The sequence below is a fragment of the Homo sapiens genome, chromosome 5 (genome assembly GCF_000001405.40).
Source record: "Homo sapiens chromosome 5, GRCh38.p14 Primary Assembly".
NCBI lineage: Eukaryota > Metazoa > Chordata > Mammalia > Primates > Hominidae > Homo > Homo sapiens.
This window is the reverse complement of record NC_000005.10, coordinates 165,139,643-165,160,828: the sequence shown is the minus strand read 5'-3', so window position 1 is coordinate 165,160,828 and position 21,186 is coordinate 165,139,643. Positions and strand designations below refer to the sequence as shown.

The following is a 21,186-nucleotide window of genomic DNA, read 5'->3' as shown; positions in this document are numbered from 1 at the left end:
AAAGAGATCATATGACATAAAATAAAATGCAATAACGTGATCTCTGTTGGTATAGCCTAAGAAAATAAATGTTTATTTGCAAGATAACTTCCAGGTGAGTAACAATATTCCAGGTTTGCTTCTTCTAACATTAAATATGAGTATGTATTTTTATGCTTTTTGGCCTAAAAAATTTTTGTAATGGAACAAGATATCATCCAGAGCTCTCAAAAGGCAAAAGAGAAGGACCATACAGTCTGTCAGATAAGCAAGCATCATAACAAGAGAACAGCTATGAAAATCAATCAGAATAAAATTACGTAAAAGTGAGAGTGTTTTCCCTGAGGAATTAATTAGCATAGCTATCCCAATCTGCAACACCCTCTCCATCCATTTTCTTCTCAAAGTTTAATTCTTTAAACTTGTGACAAAAGAAGAAAAAAGCCAATGGATCTACTTACTTTACTGTGGAGGGTCTGTAAGATTAACAAAAACAATATATTCTTGGTTTATTCACTCACAAAGCTATTTGTAGTAGTTGATGTAAGCACAAAATATGATCGCATCTAGTTGTTCTATGGTCATGCAAAGCCTGATACTGTTGGCTATGGCAGCTGTGAATCTAATAGAGGCAACAGAAGGACAGAGTCAAGTTCAAATCCAGATCTGACCTAGAAGGCTATGTTCTTAACTCCCACAAATCACAATCTCCTACTGTATATAAAACCAGAGCTAAAATAGAAGGAACCTCATAATGGGATGATAAAAAGGAAGTAGAAACAAAAGCTGCGAAGTAAGGTAAGCTAAGTCTAAATTGTAGTGACTTTGTGGCTGAGTGAATCTTAACGCTTAAATGGGGAATTTTTAGGTAAAAAGTAAAATAAAATAAACTTCTAGGCAGAGAGAATGATGTATAAATATTTATGGAAGTTTAATCTTATGGATGATCTTGGGTTGCTGTGGATGTTAGAACCTATTAGGGAGGTTACTTTGACAGTAAGTAACCTTCTTTACAAGGTGACTTGGGGCAGGAAAAGAGGAGGCAGTAGGTTCCTACACCATGATTTTATCCCTGCCCCCAAGAGAACTTAAAATCAACTTACAAAAATAAAAAAATTAAAAGGTAAAAAGTTAAATGAAAATAATACATTTAAATAATATTTCAATGTAAAAGACACGGAATATATTACATGGAAATAAACGACCACTTTCCAAATGGATGATAGAGACTGAAGTTTTAGAAGTTCTAAATATTTATCCATTTGTTTGTTGATGGACACTTAGCTTGTTTCTATATGTTGGCTATTGTGAATAATGCTGAAACGAACATTGGAGAGAAGATACTTTTATGATCATGTCGTATGCCTTAAATATATACAATAAAATTTATTTTTTAAATATTTGGAAGTTATTTTTAAATAGACTGGTCAGGGAAGTTGCATGTAGAGAGAAAATCTGAGCTAGGTTTTAAACGATGGGTTAAATGCATAGGTTAAATAAAAACACCAGAAAATACAAGATCTGTCTCAAGTCAGGTTTCTTAGAAGCCAAGCCTGACTGTAATTGACTGAGCTAGTGCTCCTTAGGAAAACCCTGTAAGCAGAGGAATAAAGCTGGATGTGATAGTGAAGGGATTCAAGAATTCAGCAATGATGTGGTCTCAGGAAGTGTAGCTTCGGCCTGACCCATAGGTGAGAATTCTAAAGCATGAACTGCATGAAAAGCACAGTTAAATGCATAGGAATGAGATGGGTTTCCAGGATGGTGGGAAACCATGAGCAAAAGTGCAACTGTAGATGAGTGCATGTGGAACTAATGTGAGCAAAGTTGGAACTTCACGGAAAGAAACAGAAATAGGAAAAAGTGGGGAGGTGGTTGGTGTCAAGTCCTGGATGGCCTTGACTGTGAGTCTATAACTTTGAAACTAACCATTGTAGATAATCTCACGAGTCTGTTGAGTGAGATGTGAAAGTCTAAGTTAGAGTTGTGCACCTGGCAAAATGGTGCAGGATGAAATGAAATGAGAGAGTTTAGAGTCAGAAAAACCAGTCAATAGGCAAACATAGCATGAAAAATTAGGATACGGATGTGGCAACAGTTATGGGAGAGTAAAGGATATTATAAGGAAAAGATTAATAAAATTATTAACTGATGGGATAAGAAGGTGAGTGATAATGAGCAGTCTCTCATCACTGTCATACCTTAGCCACATGAATAAATTCAAAAAGTGTAGTTTTAAGATGACAACAGAACATGTAAATGGAAATATCAAGCTAGCTGCCTTGTAATGGAAAGCAGAATACAGATCTGAGAGGTCTCCTCTTGCAGAAAACTGTTGTGGTTATTGATGGGCCCTTTAAAGTGCAGAGCATAGGCAAAGAACTGCAGAGACACTGCGCTTCCTTGCTTTAGAGGCACTGGCTCATTTCGCTGCCTGGAAAGTTCTTGTCTACCTTCTTACCTGTAAATCTTCAATTCACCTGTAAAGTCTCAGCACAGAAGTCACTCCAGCATGGCTTTCTCTGACAATTGTAGAGTATTTTTGCTTTTTATTCTGGTCTTTCTGGCACCTATTCATTAATTCACCAAATAATCACTGAGTTGCTAGTATAGTCTTGACATTGCTCTAGGTGTAGAAAAACCAGTGGCAAACAGATAAACAGTGTCCTTCTTCTTATGGGTCTGTGTATATTTTAGCTGGATTAGACAGTCAACCAATCAATCAAACCATCCAACAATATATAATATTTTAGGTGGTGATGAATGTGTTTTAAGAGGGAAGCTATTTTATATCATGTAGTCAGAAAAGCCTGACAGATGAAACAGCATCCGATCACAGACTTAAAGGAAGACATGAACAAACCATGACAAGAATGGAAAGAGAAAGTTTAGGGAGAGTAACCAGCATTTGCAATGATCTGCATGCTTAGTATGTTTGAGAATCAGCAAAGAGGCTAATGCAACTGGAGTCGAATCGTTATATTAGGGGTAGTGCTGGGTGACAGGAAAGAGTGTCAGAAAAGTATTGGAGGACCAGATCTTTAGAGTCTTGTAGATCATGCTGAAGAATTTGGGAAATTATTGGAGGATTCTGACCAGGGAGGTCAACTAGTTGTATTACACTGATTTTAACCAGCAGTCTCATAAGTGAAAGTGTCACCAGTGGAGGTGAAGAAGGCCTTAAAGTACCAGTGGATCTCACCAAGCAACAGTAAAGAGTGGTGAGAAATTTGCAAATGATGACATGGTTTAAAAATGGAGGAAAGTGGAGACTGAGAAGTAGAAGGGCAGGGGAAAGAAAAAGAAAAGGCAAGGCTGTGGTCCATACTGAAGTGTCTATTTGCTCTATCAGCTCTGCACTGTCTGCGAGCTGCTCATGGAGCCTAGCTGTCTCCTCCTCTGGAGAGTATTTCTAGGCTGTGTGGAGCCAACTCACCCAGGAAACTAAGCCAAGAAAAGGATGTCTCATAGCTAATGATTGATGTAGGGCATAAATAGTCAGCCTCTTTGACTCCAGGGCAACTCTGAACTGCAATTCATGCTTTAGAACTCTCACCTATGGGTCAGGGTGAAGCTACACTTCCTGAGACCACATCATTGCTGAATTCTTGAATCCCTTCACTATCACATCCAGCTTTATTCCTCTGCTTACAGGGTTTTCCTAAGGAGCACTAGCTCAGTCAATTACAGTCAGGCTTGGCTTCTAAGAAACCTGACTTGAGACAGATCTTGTATTTTCCGCTGTTTTCATTTCTCACAGAACCTAATAAAATTCTGAGAGTGACATCAGGGCATAATAAATATTTGCTGAATTAAAGAACAGACATAAGAGTTATAGAAGAGTAGAGAATGCTATCCATAAACAATATTGTGAAATACCATGTGATATCCTCACAGTAAGGGCACTTATTTCCAATTTACATAATTTGGGTAAAACTGACAGAGTAAGAATACATAGGTATACATAATTATTTAGTTTTTATTTTATGGGTAAATCACTTAAAATTTTTATGAGTCACCTTTCCTAAGTTCATATTTGCCACCTTTTACGTCTATAATACAAACAAATTTGGTGAATTAACTTCAGTTCTGTCTCATCTTAAGACCCTCATTAGACACTGATGAATATGCTAAGCTGTAGCTTCTTGCTATCTCCCCTGACATTTAACTTAAGTCACCTGACCACACAGGAATGCTGAAAAAGAGTTTATTTGCTGAGATTGCACGTGTTAAACCGAATGCAGATGATGTGATGAGATAAATCATAAGAACACTGCATGCTTAGTTGGTAGCCCATGACTAAAATATTTGGTTCCCTTAAGACAAACGGTCATTTGAAAAAATTATATTCCCTTGTCAATTCAGAGAGTCTTATTTTTCCTAGTTATTGTATATCTGTCTTCTTTTTCTCCCATTCTTTTTATGCATCCCAAAGCTTGTCACTCAGTGTCATGGAAAATTTCATAATTTTCTTAGATGTCATCTGGTGCACCTTTTTTGTTTAGTTTGGTCTCATGCACTTTTAGGTTTTATTTTGTTTTCTCATTGAACTTTCCACTCTATTAACACCAGTATTACACATGTTTCTTGTTACATGCTTCATGATCATATATCCATTATGAATGGCCAATAGAAGTAAAGATTCCTGACTAACTAGAATGTTTATTATAACCATTTCAATGTAATATAATCAGGAATTTTTAGCTTCATTAGTTTTATAATATTCTTTCAAGTTTACTCTTATGGCAAGTCAATTACATATTGTTTCAAATATTGGACTGGGAAGTACTTGCAAAATCTAGATAAATGCTAATTTTCTACAGAGTTTTTGATTTCATACACAAGGATTGTCTAATGTATTTACCATTGACTACGTATATGGTTCTGTGTGTAGAAAGATGTGTGAGAAATTCCCAACACTCAAAGACCACATTATCACCTTGAAGGAAATCACGTATATGTGCACACAGGTCACATTAGCATTAGACAATGAGTTATGAAAAAAATAATTCTCTTGTTTGGTACTTCCAATTGTTCTCCATTGCTTAAATAATGAAAGAATTATCATAACCTGGCACTTGTTAACCTCTAAAGTCTTTTTTGTTTCTGCTTCTCAAGTTCACTTTTATCTCAATTATTATTTAAAAAGTAACCCAAGGCCAGTGTAGAAATGCATGAAAAATACAGAAAAATAGAAGAAAGTGAAAATTTCCTTTATCACAGTAGCATGGGAAAACTACCATTACCATTTTGCTATGCAAGCTTATGGCCTATCTTTAATGTATATTTAAAGCTACATGGCTGGGCGCGGTGGCTCATGCCTGTAATCCCAGCACTTTGGGAGGCTGAGGGAGGTGGATCACCTGAAGTCAGGAGTTTGAGACCAGCCTGACCAATATGGTGCAACCCCATCTCTACTAAAAATAAAAAATTAACTGGGCGCAGTGGCGGGCGCCTGTAGTGCTACCTACTCAGGAGACTGACACAGGAGAATTGCTTGAACCCAGGAGGCGGAGGTTGCTGAGATTGTACCACTGCACTCAAGCCTGGGTGAAAGAGAGAGACTCCATCTCAAAAAAGAAAAGGAAAAAAGAAAAAAAAGTAAAGCTACGTTTGGTAACAATACCAAAACAGAGTCCTATATTTTTAAAAACCTAAATATAGTTACCAGCATTTCCTGTCTCTTTGGATATATTTTTGCTATTTTATTATCGTATTCCATTGCATAGATGCTACACAATTTAACTAATTTCATAAGTTTAGATGTTTAGTATTTTTTTTTTGGTTGTTTCTTTTGAGACGGAGTCTCGCTCTGTCGCCCAGGCTGGAGTGCAGTGGCACGATCTCCGCTCACGGCAAGCTCATGGGTTCACGCCATTCTCCTGCCTCAGCCTCCCCAGTAGCTGGAAATACAGGTGCCCGCCACCACGCCTGGCTAATATTTTTGTATTTTCAGTAGAGATGGGGTTTCACTCTGTTAGCCAAGATGGTCTCCATCTCCTGACCTCGTGATCCGCCTACCTCTGCCTCCCAAAGTGCTGGGTTTACAAGCGTGAGCCACCGTGCCTGGCCTAGATATCTAGTTTTTATCTAACTTTTCACATGATTCGTTACGCACATACCTGCTTATTCTTACAAATAGATACCTAGAGGTGAGATATTGCCAAAAAAGAGAATGAACTTGTTTTCACTGGCTTATTAGCCATTCATAATTTATTTTGTCCAGAACGATGCCTTTGCTCATTAGTTTACTGATAGTACTACATTTTACCTTAAACTATTAAAACTTCATATTATCAAAAATCTGTTTGTAGTATATGGACAATTCACATTTCATCATTTGTCATTTTCCTGATCATTTTTTATTTCTTGTTACATAGGTGCTTTATATTTTTTGTTTTTGTTGTACATTTAGGTCTATATTAATTTGGGGTTTTATGCTTACATCTTTGAGCCATTTGGAGTTAAATCTGCATATGGTATATGAGACAAGCTTTGAGGTTATTGTGTATTTTTGTTCTTCCTTTTTGTTTTTACATATAGAAAGCAAATTGTTTCAGCATCATTTACTGAAAAGATTATTCTTTCCCCTTAAATTGCTTTGACACTTCTGCTGAAATTCAGTTGATCATATATGTGTGAGTTTTGTTTTTGCTCTCTTTATTCTGTTGCAAACATTTGTCTACCTTTATGCCAATAACACACTATCTTGGTTACTATAGGTTTATAATAAGACTTTTTTTCTCTCTCTTCAGATTCCTTCTGGGTATGTCCTTTGTGTTTCCCTGAAAATTTTAGAATTATCTTGTCAATTTCTAAAAAACACAGCAACAACTACTGTGATCTTGACTAGAAGTGAATCTATAGATGAATGTGGAGGTGGTTGATATCCTAATAACTGAGTCTTCCAATGCATTATGGAGCATCTCACTTTTAATTTTTTAACTTTTCATTTTTGAGTTTTTAATGTACAGGTTTTACCCATCTGTTTTTTTCAATTCATCCCTATTTGATATATTTGATTCTATTTTAAATGCTATTTTAAATTTTATTTTCCAATTGTTTGTGTCCAGTACATATACATTTCATTGATTTATGTATCACTATCTTATTTTCTACAATTTTACCAAACTTGTGATAGGTAGTTCTTCTTCTTATATTCTGTAGAATTTACTGGCATAGATGACCAAGTCATCTTCAGTAAAAGACAATTGATTCTTCCTTTCTAGTCTGGGTGTCTTTTAGTGCCCTATTTAATAGGATAGACTAAATAAAGAAATGCTAATATAAGAAGTGAAAACAGACATTCTTGGCTTGCTACTTATTTTCCAGGAAATTACTTACTTTTTTACGATTTTTATTTTAGCTTAGGTCATATAGAATTTTTTTTTTTTTTTTTAGTTAAAATTACATTGATTTTTCAATGTTAAACCAACTTCACATTCTTGGCAACACTTGATCATAATGTATTATTCTTCGTATTTCTGTCAGAATTTGATAAAAATGTATTTGAATTTTTACATCTATGTTCATAAAGATACCTCGATAGTTTTCCTGTTATGCTCTTGATTAGATTTGGTATCAGGGTATATTCAGGCCTTACAGAGTGATTTGGGGATCATACTTTGTTCTTTAAATTTTTTTTGGAACTGTTTAGATAGAATGCTCTTACTCCTTCTTTAAATGTGTGAGATAATTTGCCAGTGAATTCATCTGGACCTGTAGATATTTTTCTCTTTTTTCTTCTTGAGTGAGACTTGGTAGTTTCTTATTTTTAAAAAAATTGGTCTTTAATTTTATACTGTTTTTACTATATATGGCAATTGTTAATCATTATTACTATTAGCACATGCATAGCAGCTCTTCCTTTCTACAATTGATGTGGCCTTTATATTACTTACACTTCCTCAACTTTTGGGAAGAAAATTGGATTCCAGAAGGGGAAAAGGAAGACACATAATATAAATTAATTGTTTAGGTAAGAGTCTTCCTGATACTTAACGTTTGTTTTGTTTTTTTCTTTGAGATGGAGTCTTGCTCTTGTCGCTTGGGCTGGAGTGCAGTGGCATGATCTCGGCTCACTGCAACCTCTTCCTCCTGGGTTCAAGTGATTCTCCTGCCTCAGCCTCCTGAGTAGCTGGGATTACAGGCACCCACCACCATGCCTGGCAAATTTTTGTGTTTTTTAGTAGAGACAGGGTTTCACCATGTTGGCCAGGCTGGTCTCAAACTCCTGACCTCAGGTGATCTGCCCGCCTCAGCCTCCCAAAGTGCTGGGATTACAGGCGTGAGCCGCCGCACCCACCTTTTGCTTTGGTTTCTTCTTTGTTTACTTTTAAATCTGTAATACAGTTACTGGGTTTCTGTGTATCCTGGCTACCATTTTCTGTTCCCTACCATGGACTGTATAGGCTTCTTTACCAGGATGATTTTGTATTTGCCATTGCTGGATACTAAGGGATTTACTGGCACACGACCAGTTTTTATTTGTAATGGTCCCACTGGCAGGATTGCAATTTTAGTCACAAGGCCACTTTAGCACAACCCAAGACCCAGCATGGGTTACTTGCTTTTGTGCCCAGTCCCATGGCTACTGATTATCTTTTTGTGATTGTTTAACAGTAAGGACAATTCCTCTATTGTGTGAGCCTTTATGCAAGGAGGCCAGTTCCAGTTCTCTGCTATGCACAGTGCGTATTTTTTCTGCACAGGTTTTTTTTTATTTATTAAATTTTTCAAATGGATACATAAAAATTGTACATGTTGATGATGAGAACCCAGATTTTAGGCCAGTGACTGATTCTGCATCTTTCAGCTTCAAATCTGGTCCACTACTATGGGTTTAAATTTCTTTCTCATTTCTGAACTTTGGAGATGAGCTTTTATTGCTTTTGCACTTTTACATGCAACTCATTTAAAAATAAATTTCCCACTCTTCTCAAACTCTGTTATAATATATACATTTACTTCTCTAGCACTATTGATGGTTAAAAATGAAAAATTTCTATCTTCCATAGCCTCCTACTTTCTAATAACTGTGCATCCCAGCAGTGCACTGTTCTAAGAAAAGTTCAGCCAAAAAAAGAAAAAGAAAATTAAAGAAACTCTGTAAAAACAGTGACTTTCAAACATGAGAGGCAAAAATTATTTTTTTTCCACAATCTACTCAGTATTGATGGTACGGATAAAAATATCTCTTTAGAACTATTACCTTGAGAACTTAAGAATTTGAGATCATCTTATCTTAATTCTGTGTGGGAGGACTGCCTCTGACAAGCTTAATTTTTTTGCTCCAGATAACTCACCTCTCAACTTGTCAAGTCTCTGATGTGAGATCCAGTATTAAACAAAGAGTCACACCGAAAGGCTTACACAGTAGAAGAGTTTAAAGTAAGGTAAGATATGGCATTCGTTAACGAAAAAAAAAAAAAAGTTTTGTAGCCTCAGTGATAATTCTACCTCTTTTATGAAAACAATTTACAAATGTGCTTTCTCTAATTTAGTCAAGCCTTCGTTACAACTCTGGATAAATATGAAAGGAAATCTAATTTTTTTTACTTCCATAACAGTTCTTCAATTCTGCTTGTGAAAGATTGTATTATTTTAAAAACATTTTATACTAACATGAGCTGGAATGATAGATATTTGTTATTTAAACCCAACTGAGTCAACGTGACAACATTGCCACCTTTTCATACAACAGAGACTATGTGCTTTTTGAAGGCTGTAAGACAACTTTCATTCATTTGACTGAAAACTCAGGGGTCTGGCTTCCTGAAGCTTACTCTAGTTCCTTCATTCCCTTTGAGAAATGCATAGGTATTTAAATAGTATAGGTATCCAAATTTAAGTTGATAAATCTGTTGCTATTCTACACTCTACTTTGAATCTAGACTGCCATTGTCTATGGAAAAATATGCAATTGTATTATTTGTAAGAAGAGAGCAATTATTTATCAATAGCTGTCCTGTCCTGCCTATAAAGCAGCTTCAATGTCTAGTACAAATTGGTCACCAGTAAAATAATATTCATTATTAATATGTTAATAATTGACAATATCATAAAAATCACCATCTACATCTATATTTGAGAATTGCTCCTTTGCTAATATCCTTACCTCTCTTCCATTTTGGCTTTATCCCCCGCCCCCCTTTTTTTTTTTTCAAAATTTCTCAACAATTTTCTCTTCTCTCCTACTCTGCAACTCAATTCTCACTATAACTGGATGACCCGCATGCCTACTGTAAATATTTAAAATAAAGGTTCTAAAAGGTCAAGCTTAAATGATTATTAATTTTTGTGTGCAATGGAATATGTATTTGGAAATTTTGTTCCTTTTTACTTTATTTCTTCTTTATGTATGTGTCTATCTATGACAACACAAGCATTAAAGAGTATTGAGGTCAAATAATGGATGTTAAATTAGTGCATGCAAGATTCTGGTGCACTGCTAGGCAAAAAGTAAAAATTAAATAAACAGCTGAAGGTGACGGTTGTGGTAGGAGTGATATGCTTTCAGCTCTGTGGAATTTGGATTTCTTCCAATGTTTAGATGCAATGAATCTATTACATTTAATAATAGTATTAATGAATAGGTGTTAATAAGGAGTTTAACTTCAAAAAAAGCAACATACCGTAATGTATTACCTTCTAAAAATAAACTCCTTTTAACTTCTTGATCTTCACACAACTGTGCCTTTCTATATATCAAAATAAAGAACTGTGAATCATTAAAAATGCTCCTACTTTGAAAAGTCTACAAAGAACATTTTGAAAGATAAAAATGTTCTGAGCTAAGCCCTCAAAAATAAGCATTGTTTGACCCAGACTTTCACAAGTTTGATTTTTTTTATAGTCTAATAACTTACAAAATGCCATTTTCCAAATCTGAGCTGTATTGAGTTTCAGAAACTCAAATGAATGTCTAAAACAACAGAACATATTCCATACCTGCTCCCCCCGAACAAAATCTGATTTCTCAAAAATCACTTTCTTGCTGAGGTCTTGTCTTGTATGTCAAGTTCTTGCCGGAAGCTAATTTTTATTGCCAGGTTATAAACCTCTAAAGTAGTAGCTCTATTATGAAAACAGACACAACCTTAGCCATAGTGATATGAATGGCACAAATATAATACTGTGAACACAGCATCAGCCATTAGCTCAAATAGCTTGCTTTTTGCCCCATTGTTGCTCATTGTCCCCTATACATTTGCTATAATGCCTGTGGTGCCTTTCAATACTACTTAACTATAGGCTGTCCTCCAGGAAATGTCAGGCACAGCCACCTCTGGTGACATGCAGACATGTGCTAGTTAGCACTGGTTTGTCACTGAGATACTAACTTGATACACATTTTTTTTCTGTAAAAAATACACTCCTTACCAAAAGAACAGGGCCCCCCAAGCTATGTTGTAATATGAAGCTGCTGACTGATCTCATTATAGCCTATTGTTTTCAGGTAGTTTGCTAATGAGATACATGTCTGAACCAAAATGCTGTTTACAGAGTATGGGGGGAAATGTGCTATTTTTTTCCCTTTTTTTTTTTTGTCTTACTTAACTCATTCTTTAAATCTAGATTGTGTTGATGCTTTAGTTGAATGTGTACCATTATAGTAGGGTTTTATGTAATGATGTGATGGATAACAGCCTAATCAGGCTGAATTATAAAATCTCAACCCCTTGGTGAGTTATCAATGTGGGCAGGGGCATGAGGCTATGCACACAATAAGACCTTCTTAAGACTGACTCCTGGAGTCTCCCAATAGATGAGGAAGAAATATCTGTCTTCAGGGTAGTAAGAAACTCTTCAGTAACATGCTGGGGATATGCAGAAAAACTTTTCCAAGATTTCTGGCTCATAGCAGTAGCTCTAAACAAAGACAGGCACAGTTTAATAACAGATATGGTTTTCCTCATTTCATTTTAGATGCAAAGACATCTAAAATGGTGGCAAATTCATGTAAAAGACACCCGTTTCGGCAAAAATAGGCACAGCACTTTGCATTAACAATACTAATTGTTATGGAAATTTTCAGCTGAAGTTGCTGGCTAATAGTGAGAAGATTAGTGAATTCTAATAAGATCTATAAATATTTATGTGTGGCTAATAATTTTATGACAATACATCCAACATCCTAAAAGTAATGTCTTCGTAAATGTGTATGCAGTAAGTCTGAATAAAACAAATTAAGAACATTATTTTAGCGTATTTTCTTTGCTATTATCCTGTTTGATATGAAATCAAATGTTGGCAATTTAGGTGCATCTGCTTAAATGTTGAAGGATCATGACCTGTGAAATCGGGATACAATGAAGAAGATCATATGACTGGTTTTCTCCATCTTCAAAATAGTCTAATAAAAAATGGTCTAATAAAATGCTTCAAATAGGACAACAGATTTCCAATTGTAATCCAAATTATAAAATAAGTCATAGAAATTCTCCCTCCAATCCCAGGAACACGCTCAAGAAATCAGCACTACAACGTCTGAGTTTACTGAAACTCCAATACACACCCAAAACACACATGGTTTAAGTATAGGAGTGGTGAGGTAACTGCCTAAAACTGTAGGTGAGTGCATTAGAGTTTTATCATTGCCTTAACAAATCACCACAAATTTAGCATCTTAAAACAAACTCCATTAATTATCTCACAGTTTCCATAGGTCAGAAGCCCAGCTGGTTTAGCAGGGTCTCTCCTTCAAGTCTCACAAGGCAGAAATCAAGGTTATGGCAGGTCCATGTTTCTTTCTGGAGGTTCTAGTGAAGAATCCATTTACTTGCTCATTCAGGTTGCTGGCAGAATTCAGTTCCACGCAGCTGTGGTACTGAGGTCCCAGTTCTTTGTGGGCTGTCAACCGAGGGCCTTTCTCAACTTTAGAGGTCTCCTGCATCTTTTGGCTCATGGCCTCCTTTCTCCATCTCCAAAGCCAGTAACAGCAAGTTGAGTCCTCTTCATTGTACACTTCTCTAACACAGCCGTGCGCACACACACTTTGACTCTTCTGCCTCTGACTCTTCTTCCTCTTTGCTATGCCTTTACAGGCCCATTTAATTAGACTGGCTCACCTGAATCATCCAGGATCATCTCCCTACACCAAGGTGCCCAATACGTTCATTCCATCTGCCAACTCCCTTTTGCCACAGAAGGTAACACGCACAGGCACAATGCAGAGTGGAGTGGTGGGGATGTATCAGTCTGTTCTCACATTGCTATAAAGAACTACCTCAGGCTGGGTAATTTACAAAGAAAAGAGGTTTAATTGACTCACAGTTTCACAGGCTGTACAGGAAGCACGGCCTCAGGAAACTTACAATCATGTCAGATGGAAAGCAAAGGGGAAGCAGGAATGTCTTACATGGCCAGAATAGGAGGAAAAGAACCAGATCTTGTGAGAACTCACTATCAGGAGAACAGCAAGGGGGGAAATCCACCCCCATGATCAAATCACCTCCCAGCAGGCTCCTCCTCCAACACCGAGGATTACAATTTGACATGAGATTTGGGTGGTGACACAAATCCAAATCAAAGCAGGGGGCAAGTGGGAGAGATCATAGAAACCAAAATGCTGCCTACCATAGAGAGCATTCTTATCTTTAAGTTACTATCACTTTCTTCATAACATAACATAAGCTAGGTAAAATAAATTTTATTTTCTGAATGAGTTTCCAAAATTTTAGTTTGATCAGGATTATACTACACTCAGGTCACCTAGTCCAACAAACTCATTTCCTTTCAACTTTTATCCTCTACTAGAATACCAAACATGTGCTCTGGAACAAAATGTGAGCACCCACTATCATTATCTTTGAATAATAGAATTTTAAATATATTTCAAATAGACTATGAAGACATTATGGGAAAGCATCGTAGCTTTCATATTAATTTCTTGAGCAAAAATCAGGATGGGAGAATTTCTCTGTGATCCACAACCTGCTAAAAACAGCACTTTACATTATGGAAATATTTACTTGAAAGTCCATATATTTTATAAAACTTGACTCACAATCAAGATAACTCAACATGGAAATCTACTCATCAGCCTATGGCTGTCTCTTATATTTTCTTGGCTATAGAAATTTCTGCACAAGGCGGGCACAGTGGCTCACACCTATAATCCCAGTACTTTGATAGGCCAAGGTGGGTGGATCACCTGAGACTGGGAGTTTGAGACCAGCCTGACCAACATGGAGAAACCCTGTCGCTACTAAAAATACAAAATTAGCTGGGTGTGGTGGTGCATATCTGTAATCCCAGCTACTCAGGAGGCTGAGGCAGGAGAATCCCTTGAATCCGGGAGGCAGAGGTTGCAGTGAGCCGAGATCACACCATTGCACTCCAGCCTGGGAAACAAGAGTGAAACTCTGTCACACACACACACACACACACACACACACACAAAGAAAAGAAAAAAGAAATCTCTGCACAAAGAGATCTCCATGAGACAGTAAAAACAACTCAGAAACTGCCTTCAGCAACTGAACAATAACCTGGCTTGCATGGCAATCTTGCTACATTACAAGCAAGACCAACCAACCAGAATTATGTTGGTATGGCAGGTAGATAATATAACAGCTACTGCAACAACACACTCGGAGAAACTGGAAGGAAACGCCCAAGATAGGATTTCCTGTTCATTTCACTCTGGTTATCACATCCATGGGAAAGGGAATGTAGGTGGTAAACTATGGTGCCCTATCAACTGAAAGTGAGGACTGGAAGAAAAGCATCCCAGTTTGAGCAAGTAGTAATAATAGACGCTCATCAGGGAGGGGTTGGAAAAAAAATTAGAAGATTTATTTAATAGAAACAAGTAATCCCTTTGTGGGAAAAATATGGCCTTTTCATTATGTATTTGAATCATTTGGACTAAAAAACAGAGGAGATGGCTACAACTTGTAGGATAAGGCTATGATTGTTTTTATTGCTCTTCCAGAAAGACTAAAGAAAGATAATTAAACTGAAATTTAAAATTAAACTGAGTGTATGTGTGTGTGTGTGTGTGTGTGTGTGTGTGTGTATTTCCAATCCTGAATTTTTCTCTCCTACTGGATGAGTGTCTTGGAACATCTCTTTGAATGGATTCTGCTTCTCTGAGAATAGCCAGCTTTACAAAATCTCAAGTTTTTATGTGACATGGAAAGTAATTATTATTGAACAGACCTTAACTTCTTTGGGGGGTATACAGAAGATTTGTTGAGATTGACAATTAGAATTTTTTCTTTATTATGAGAACTATAAGATATCTTTCATAATAAAATAGATTAACACTCTACCTTTGAAGATTGCATTTACAGTAAATGCTACATTTGCTCCGTGGATATTTTTACCACCTATTCAAAGACTAATATATGTTCCACTTCTCATTGAAGTTTTATAAATAATACTCTTGGTAACAGAGGCCAACTATTGGGTTAAAGTTGACCAAAACACATTCTTTGTCAAGCATGAAAACCTTGCCTTGACCTTTATACAATTATTTTTTCAAATGAAGAATTAATGTTTTCCAAAACAGTCATACAATGATGTGGGAACTGTATTAGTTTAAGGTTAAAAACTCCTGACACTGTGAATGAGATGCTTATTTTCTAGTATTCATTTGCATGATTAAAAGGAACTCCTTCCCTAGCCGAAATGTGGGGGCAAATGGTCATGGTATCTGTTCATAGTAACTGTTTATAATGTCTTGCTTTTAAAATTTTAGTGCACTCAAATATTAGTCAAATGAAAAAACACAAAATCATGTAATCTCTATGTTAGAAAATATTACCATAAAGATAATTGATGCCAATACTTTCTCCATAGCATGGTCTATCTAAAATTTTCCAGATCCAATTTGATCCCTCCCATTCCCCTAAAAATCATGGAAAAATTACAAGCCTTTGACATTTTTAAGTTGTTCTAACTTTCAGAAAGGTTTTCCTTACAGTGAACCAAAATTTGTCTTTTTGCTTTTTCTCTGTTTCACTGGAGTTGCATAGGTCAAGTCTAAGGTGACTTTCCCCATTACACACAGCTTCAAATATTTTTAAACTCCTTTGTCTCTTGAAGTTATCCGTTCTCCTATTTAGGCATCCCAATCACCTTTTAAAATTTTTTTTTATTCATCCATACTAATTGTACACATTTATGGGGTACACTTGATATTTTGATACATGCATACAATCCCACTGCTGGGCATATATATATTTTAATCATCTTAATCCCTTTTAAAGATTTCCTAATCTTCCATCTTTATACTGGAAAGAGGAGTAAGACACAACAGTTGAGACCTCAATCTTTGGAGGTAGTCTTGTCCAGCTTTGAAATCCTTTTCTACTCCTATTTACATTTGTTTGGATCAAAGTGGTAACTTTACCTCTCTGACCCTTTATTTCTTCTGCCACTTCTATGACATTAATCAATGTAAGGTGAAACTCTTGAAGCCTTCCTTCTCTCCCATACTATCTGTTTAATCTTGAGTAAGATACATATCATTTCTGAGTTTTTAAATCTTCATGTGTATATGGAAATAGTGGAGTTGCTCTGAAGGATTACCAAAGATAATTTGCATAAAATTCTTTAAAAGAATTTCTGGAACAAAGAGAGCACTGACAAAATATGACTGTTTCTGCCCTCCTTTTGACCTAATCACATTTTTCAATATCCCTGTCTTTCTTAGCTAGAGTCCTCTAAAAAAAGCAAAAATTAACACAGTGAATCAAAAATTAAAGTGGTGTAATCTCTTTGGAAGGGGTAAGCCCAGGGTGGAGAGGGTGAGGGGAGGAAAAGCATGAGTCTGTTACTGAGATGCCTGCTGCTTCCCAAGGGGCCTCAGAGATAGCAAAGGGTGCGCAGGCCCTGTGTTTGCTCTGCATGTGGGACTTCACTGGGCTCACTGCAGCAAGAATCATATCTGGAAGCTGCACACGGAGGAGAGAAAGGAAGGAAAATTTATCTGCGTGGAGATCTTTAGTCTCCTGTTTCTCATTTGCCTTCTATATCCAGCTGGTTTCATCTAGCTCCTCAGCAGCTGCTTAGGAAGTCAGAAGTCAGGTTTTGTGACGTGGTATTTCAACAGGGTACAGAAGTGAAGAAAAGTTATCTGTGCTGGTTAGAACTAGGAAATCTGAGAAACTATGGAAGAATGTCCCATTCATTGTAAAAGTAATCCTTTCAGAATTTCCTAAAGATAGATGAGGCATAAGAAGACTCATCTCCTTTTAGTTATTGTTGCAATTTTGTTATTGCTTTACTATTAAATTTGCCTAGAAATCACAAAACAGGTCCACATTATTAACTTATTTTTTATAAACATATAACCAGATATTATTGTATTATTATTTTAACATTGCTGCCATACAATCCTATATCCCTCATCTAAATTCATTACTATTGTAGACTTTCCAAAATCTGTCTCAAATTTATTTTTCCATATTGAACACTAATTTATAATCTCTTCCCTCTAATAACTTGAACTATTCATTCTACCTAAGCCTTCTCCTCTGAGTAAACTTTGTCAATGATATGTAGAATGCACTCTTTCAAAAATTCATGAAAGGCCATTTCTGAGTCCTTATATCATCTTTATGTGGAAATAATGAAGTTGCTGTGAAAAATTGTGAATAACATGCATAAAATACTGAGAAGGAATTTGGATGGTATATCCAAACCCTTCTTTAAGAGCAAGTTACAATGCCATCTTCTTCATAAAGTTATATCATGCCCCTAGGTGGAAGTACTGTTTTTTTCTTTTTACATAAAAAGTTTTGTGGTTAGTAGTCTGAATTGAAGATTTAGAGCTATGAAAGACATCATGGAAGAGTCTTCTAATATTCTATTGACTCCACTCCTCACCTTTCTCCTCGTCCAAGATCTGCTTCTTGCCTCATAACTTTCCAGCAGCTCTGGGAGTTCAGTTTTCTATTTCAGCCTCTGCCTAATAAGGTTAAAATGTGAACCACATATACCATTTTAAATTTTCTAGTAGTTATGTTAAAAAAAAAGTTTTAAAAGAGGCAAAAATAATTTTAATGATATATTTTAACCCAATAAGTCCAAAATATTAATATTTTAACGTGCCTCCATATGAAATTAAGATATTAGATGATTTTTCCATACTGTTTTTAAAATCTGCTGTGTATTTAATACTCACAACACATCTAAATTTACATTAGCCACATTTCAAGTGTTCAATAATTGCATTTGACTAATGATTACCGTAATGGACAGCACAATTATGCTGTAAATCATTTTATCTCTCCCAAGGTTCTACTCTCAAACTCTTACAGCCAAATCTCTTGAACTGTTTTTCTATTACACATGGTTTTTCTTCCTAATTATTCATGAGTTATATAAGGGGTAATCCTATGTCCTTATTTATTTATTCATTTATTTACATCATGTACCTAATTTAGGATTTGATACACATTTATTTACCAATTGATTAATACATGATGCTAGACATTTACAATATCCCTTGTCAATTCCCAGATCTTTTTGTTGTGTTTTCTACACTTTCTTTAGATTGATTGTGCCTTTAATCTGATCTGCCATGATTATGACAATCTGGGAAACAGTTCAGTACAATAGAAATGGCACAGAAACATGTGTTCAAGTGTTGGATCAACCTATGACAGTCTATGTGGTTTCGCATAGTAACTTAATATCATTATACCTTTGTTTCTTAATCTGTAAAATGACAAACATTCATAAATTTTAAACACAGGAAAATTTTGTGATCATATTAAAAGAATATATGTCAAAGTATTCTCAAAATTTTAAAGCATAAAAGCAATGGAAAAATATATGGTTTTGATTTTTCTGTTTTACTTTCAATATGCTGCGTATATTTTTTGGCTTTTGCCTAAAGTAGAACATTGTGCCAGTGGTTCACAATGGCTTTTAAAATCCCCTCGTAGTTCATAGTTTGTAATTTTGAGCCCAGTAACTTATAAAACCACTTGGGATTAATTTTTCCTAAGTGTATTCATTTATTTGTTTTCACTGAAGCTTTATTTTTCCATGTCTTACAGAAGGGTAGTATATTCCTAAACTAGCTAAACACCTTTATAGTGTTACCAAGCATTTTAATCTTGGGGAGAAAGAAGCAAAGAGAAATTTTTTAAAACAGAAAAGCACAATGAATATATTTGTGAATAATTACATTTATTACAACTACAGAAATAAGCTTTGTCAAGATTAATACCCATTGCAAGTCAATCTTGTCAGAGTTCTGAATTCCCTTTAATATTTTGGTAAATTCATTAGCACTGCTTTGGCAAAATTTCAATTTTCGTAAAGCCCTGAAGCAAAGGAAAAACAATAATATGAATTTTTTAAAACAAAATTGCTCCTCTATTTTTCCCCTTAGATGCAAAAGAAACAGAAATGTAGATTTCCATCTAAATACCCCAGGATTTTCATGTTTGCCAGGAAATTTATGTATATTTTTAAACACAAAAATATCAAGAGCCATTTGGCAATCCTAAAGTATGTATTCAAACATACACACACATACACACACAAACAATAAAATCCACTTAATGAACAACCTTTTGAAAAACACACCTGCTCAATTAGAAAGATTTTCAGGGCAGTACATTTCTCTGCATTCATGCAACGGCTGAGCTGCTTAATCAACTTCAATAGTGTTTACTCCAGTATAATCTTCACTTTTGCCCAGTATGGACAGATTCTCACTCTTGTGTAAAATTCCTAACCATGAAGGCTTTTGTACATTCTGTGCAATCACATGGTTTATCAGTACTATTAAATATTTAATCTTAACTTATTTTGAAACTTAAGTTAATATTCTCAGGAATAATAATTTTTCTTAGCTACTCTGAAATGTAATTATCATCTGCAATATTGCATTTCTGCAGTCAATAGTCCTTCCATTTTTAGTTTTTTCTTTATGATCTCTGCAAGTTAAGAGAGCTTTCTAGCACCTGCATACATGCAATCTATTTTTCCCCTCCTGCCAATTTTATTTGAAGAACTAGTTTTGATCATTTCTGAGTTCAATCTTTTGATGATATTATCCTGGTGCAGGCTGGACAAAGCCTATGTTTATTTAGTTTTCTTCCATGGCAACAGAAAAAAATTTGTAAAGTTAAAACTATTAAGATTATAGCTAATTCAGGGAATTAAAACACATATATATAGAGAGAGAAAATAACAAGACCCATAGTCTTTGACTTTTCCTTCATGATAGGACAATATGGTACTTCAACCTATGGCATTAGGGTCCTAAAACCAAACTAGCAGTCAATAAATATCATGAACCACAACCAACCCGAATCTGATTACTCGGTGGTTACAGAGCTGAGACCCAAAGCCTCTAAAAAGAATCCTAAGCTTGTGACATTTACAAAGCTGTTTCTAAAGACAAAACAGGTATGAAAGGTCATGACAGACTAAGGCTTTAGGGGGCAGAAGGGGGGAACTGTTCATCCACAGGAAGATTAAAGGATTCAAAGTTGTAGAGAACAAAGTTGGTAATTTTACTGTACACAAGAGGAGATATTGTTTGTGATATGTATATCTGCCTTGAATCTCAAGCCTGAAAATAAAATGATTACAGAATAATTTATTTCATTTGAATTCATTTTATCAGGCCCTCTTTCCTTCATCAGTCCATCCTATGAATCCCATAATGACAGCACATGGGGAAATATGAGAGTGAGAAATAAAGTAAGTAGATCCCCCTATTTTTGTCTCTATGTTTATTATGATAATTTGGGTAGCATATTACAACCTGAAAACTTCTACTTATAATTCCATATACTTAGACTTCTTTGCAAGCATCCATTTCTCTGTTTTTACCCAATAGTTACCGATTTTTCTTTCCATGTGATCCAAGGGAGGAAGCTGTCTTGGGATGGGATCACCAACCTAGATATGCATATTTTAAACTGGTGCCACCTCCGGGCTTTTATCTATTTGTGCTTAAAAAAAAAAAAAAATCCACTTCCCTATTTTAACTGGTCTGAGTCATGTTTCTAGTTACCAGCTGCAACCAAATGAATCCTAACTGATCTCTCAGTATGAAGCTCTACCAAGAAGGAAATTAAGGTTATAAGAGAATTTAAGCTTTTCTATTTTTGTAACTATAGTAGTATTTTTAAATATGCCATATTCGTAAAACTTTTAAGTTCTTGAAACCATCAAAACTGGACTTGGAACAAAAGTACCAATTTTTAAATTATGAAAAGTCTTCACACC

At 35.6% G+C, this 21,186-nt stretch overlaps 1 long non-coding RNA gene across 1 annotated transcript; it reads left to right on the top strand.

Moving 5' to 3' along the window:
• The first annotated feature begins 702 nt into the window (after positions 1–702).
• On the top strand, positions 703–20,656 carry LOC105377702 (uncharacterized). The gene is made up of 3 exons (XR_941178.3): positions 703–777; positions 9,276–9,374; positions 20,579–20,656. It is a non-coding gene; the product is annotated as an uncharacterized LOC105377702 (long non-coding RNA).
• The last annotated feature ends 530 nt before the right edge of the window (positions 20,657–21,186 follow it).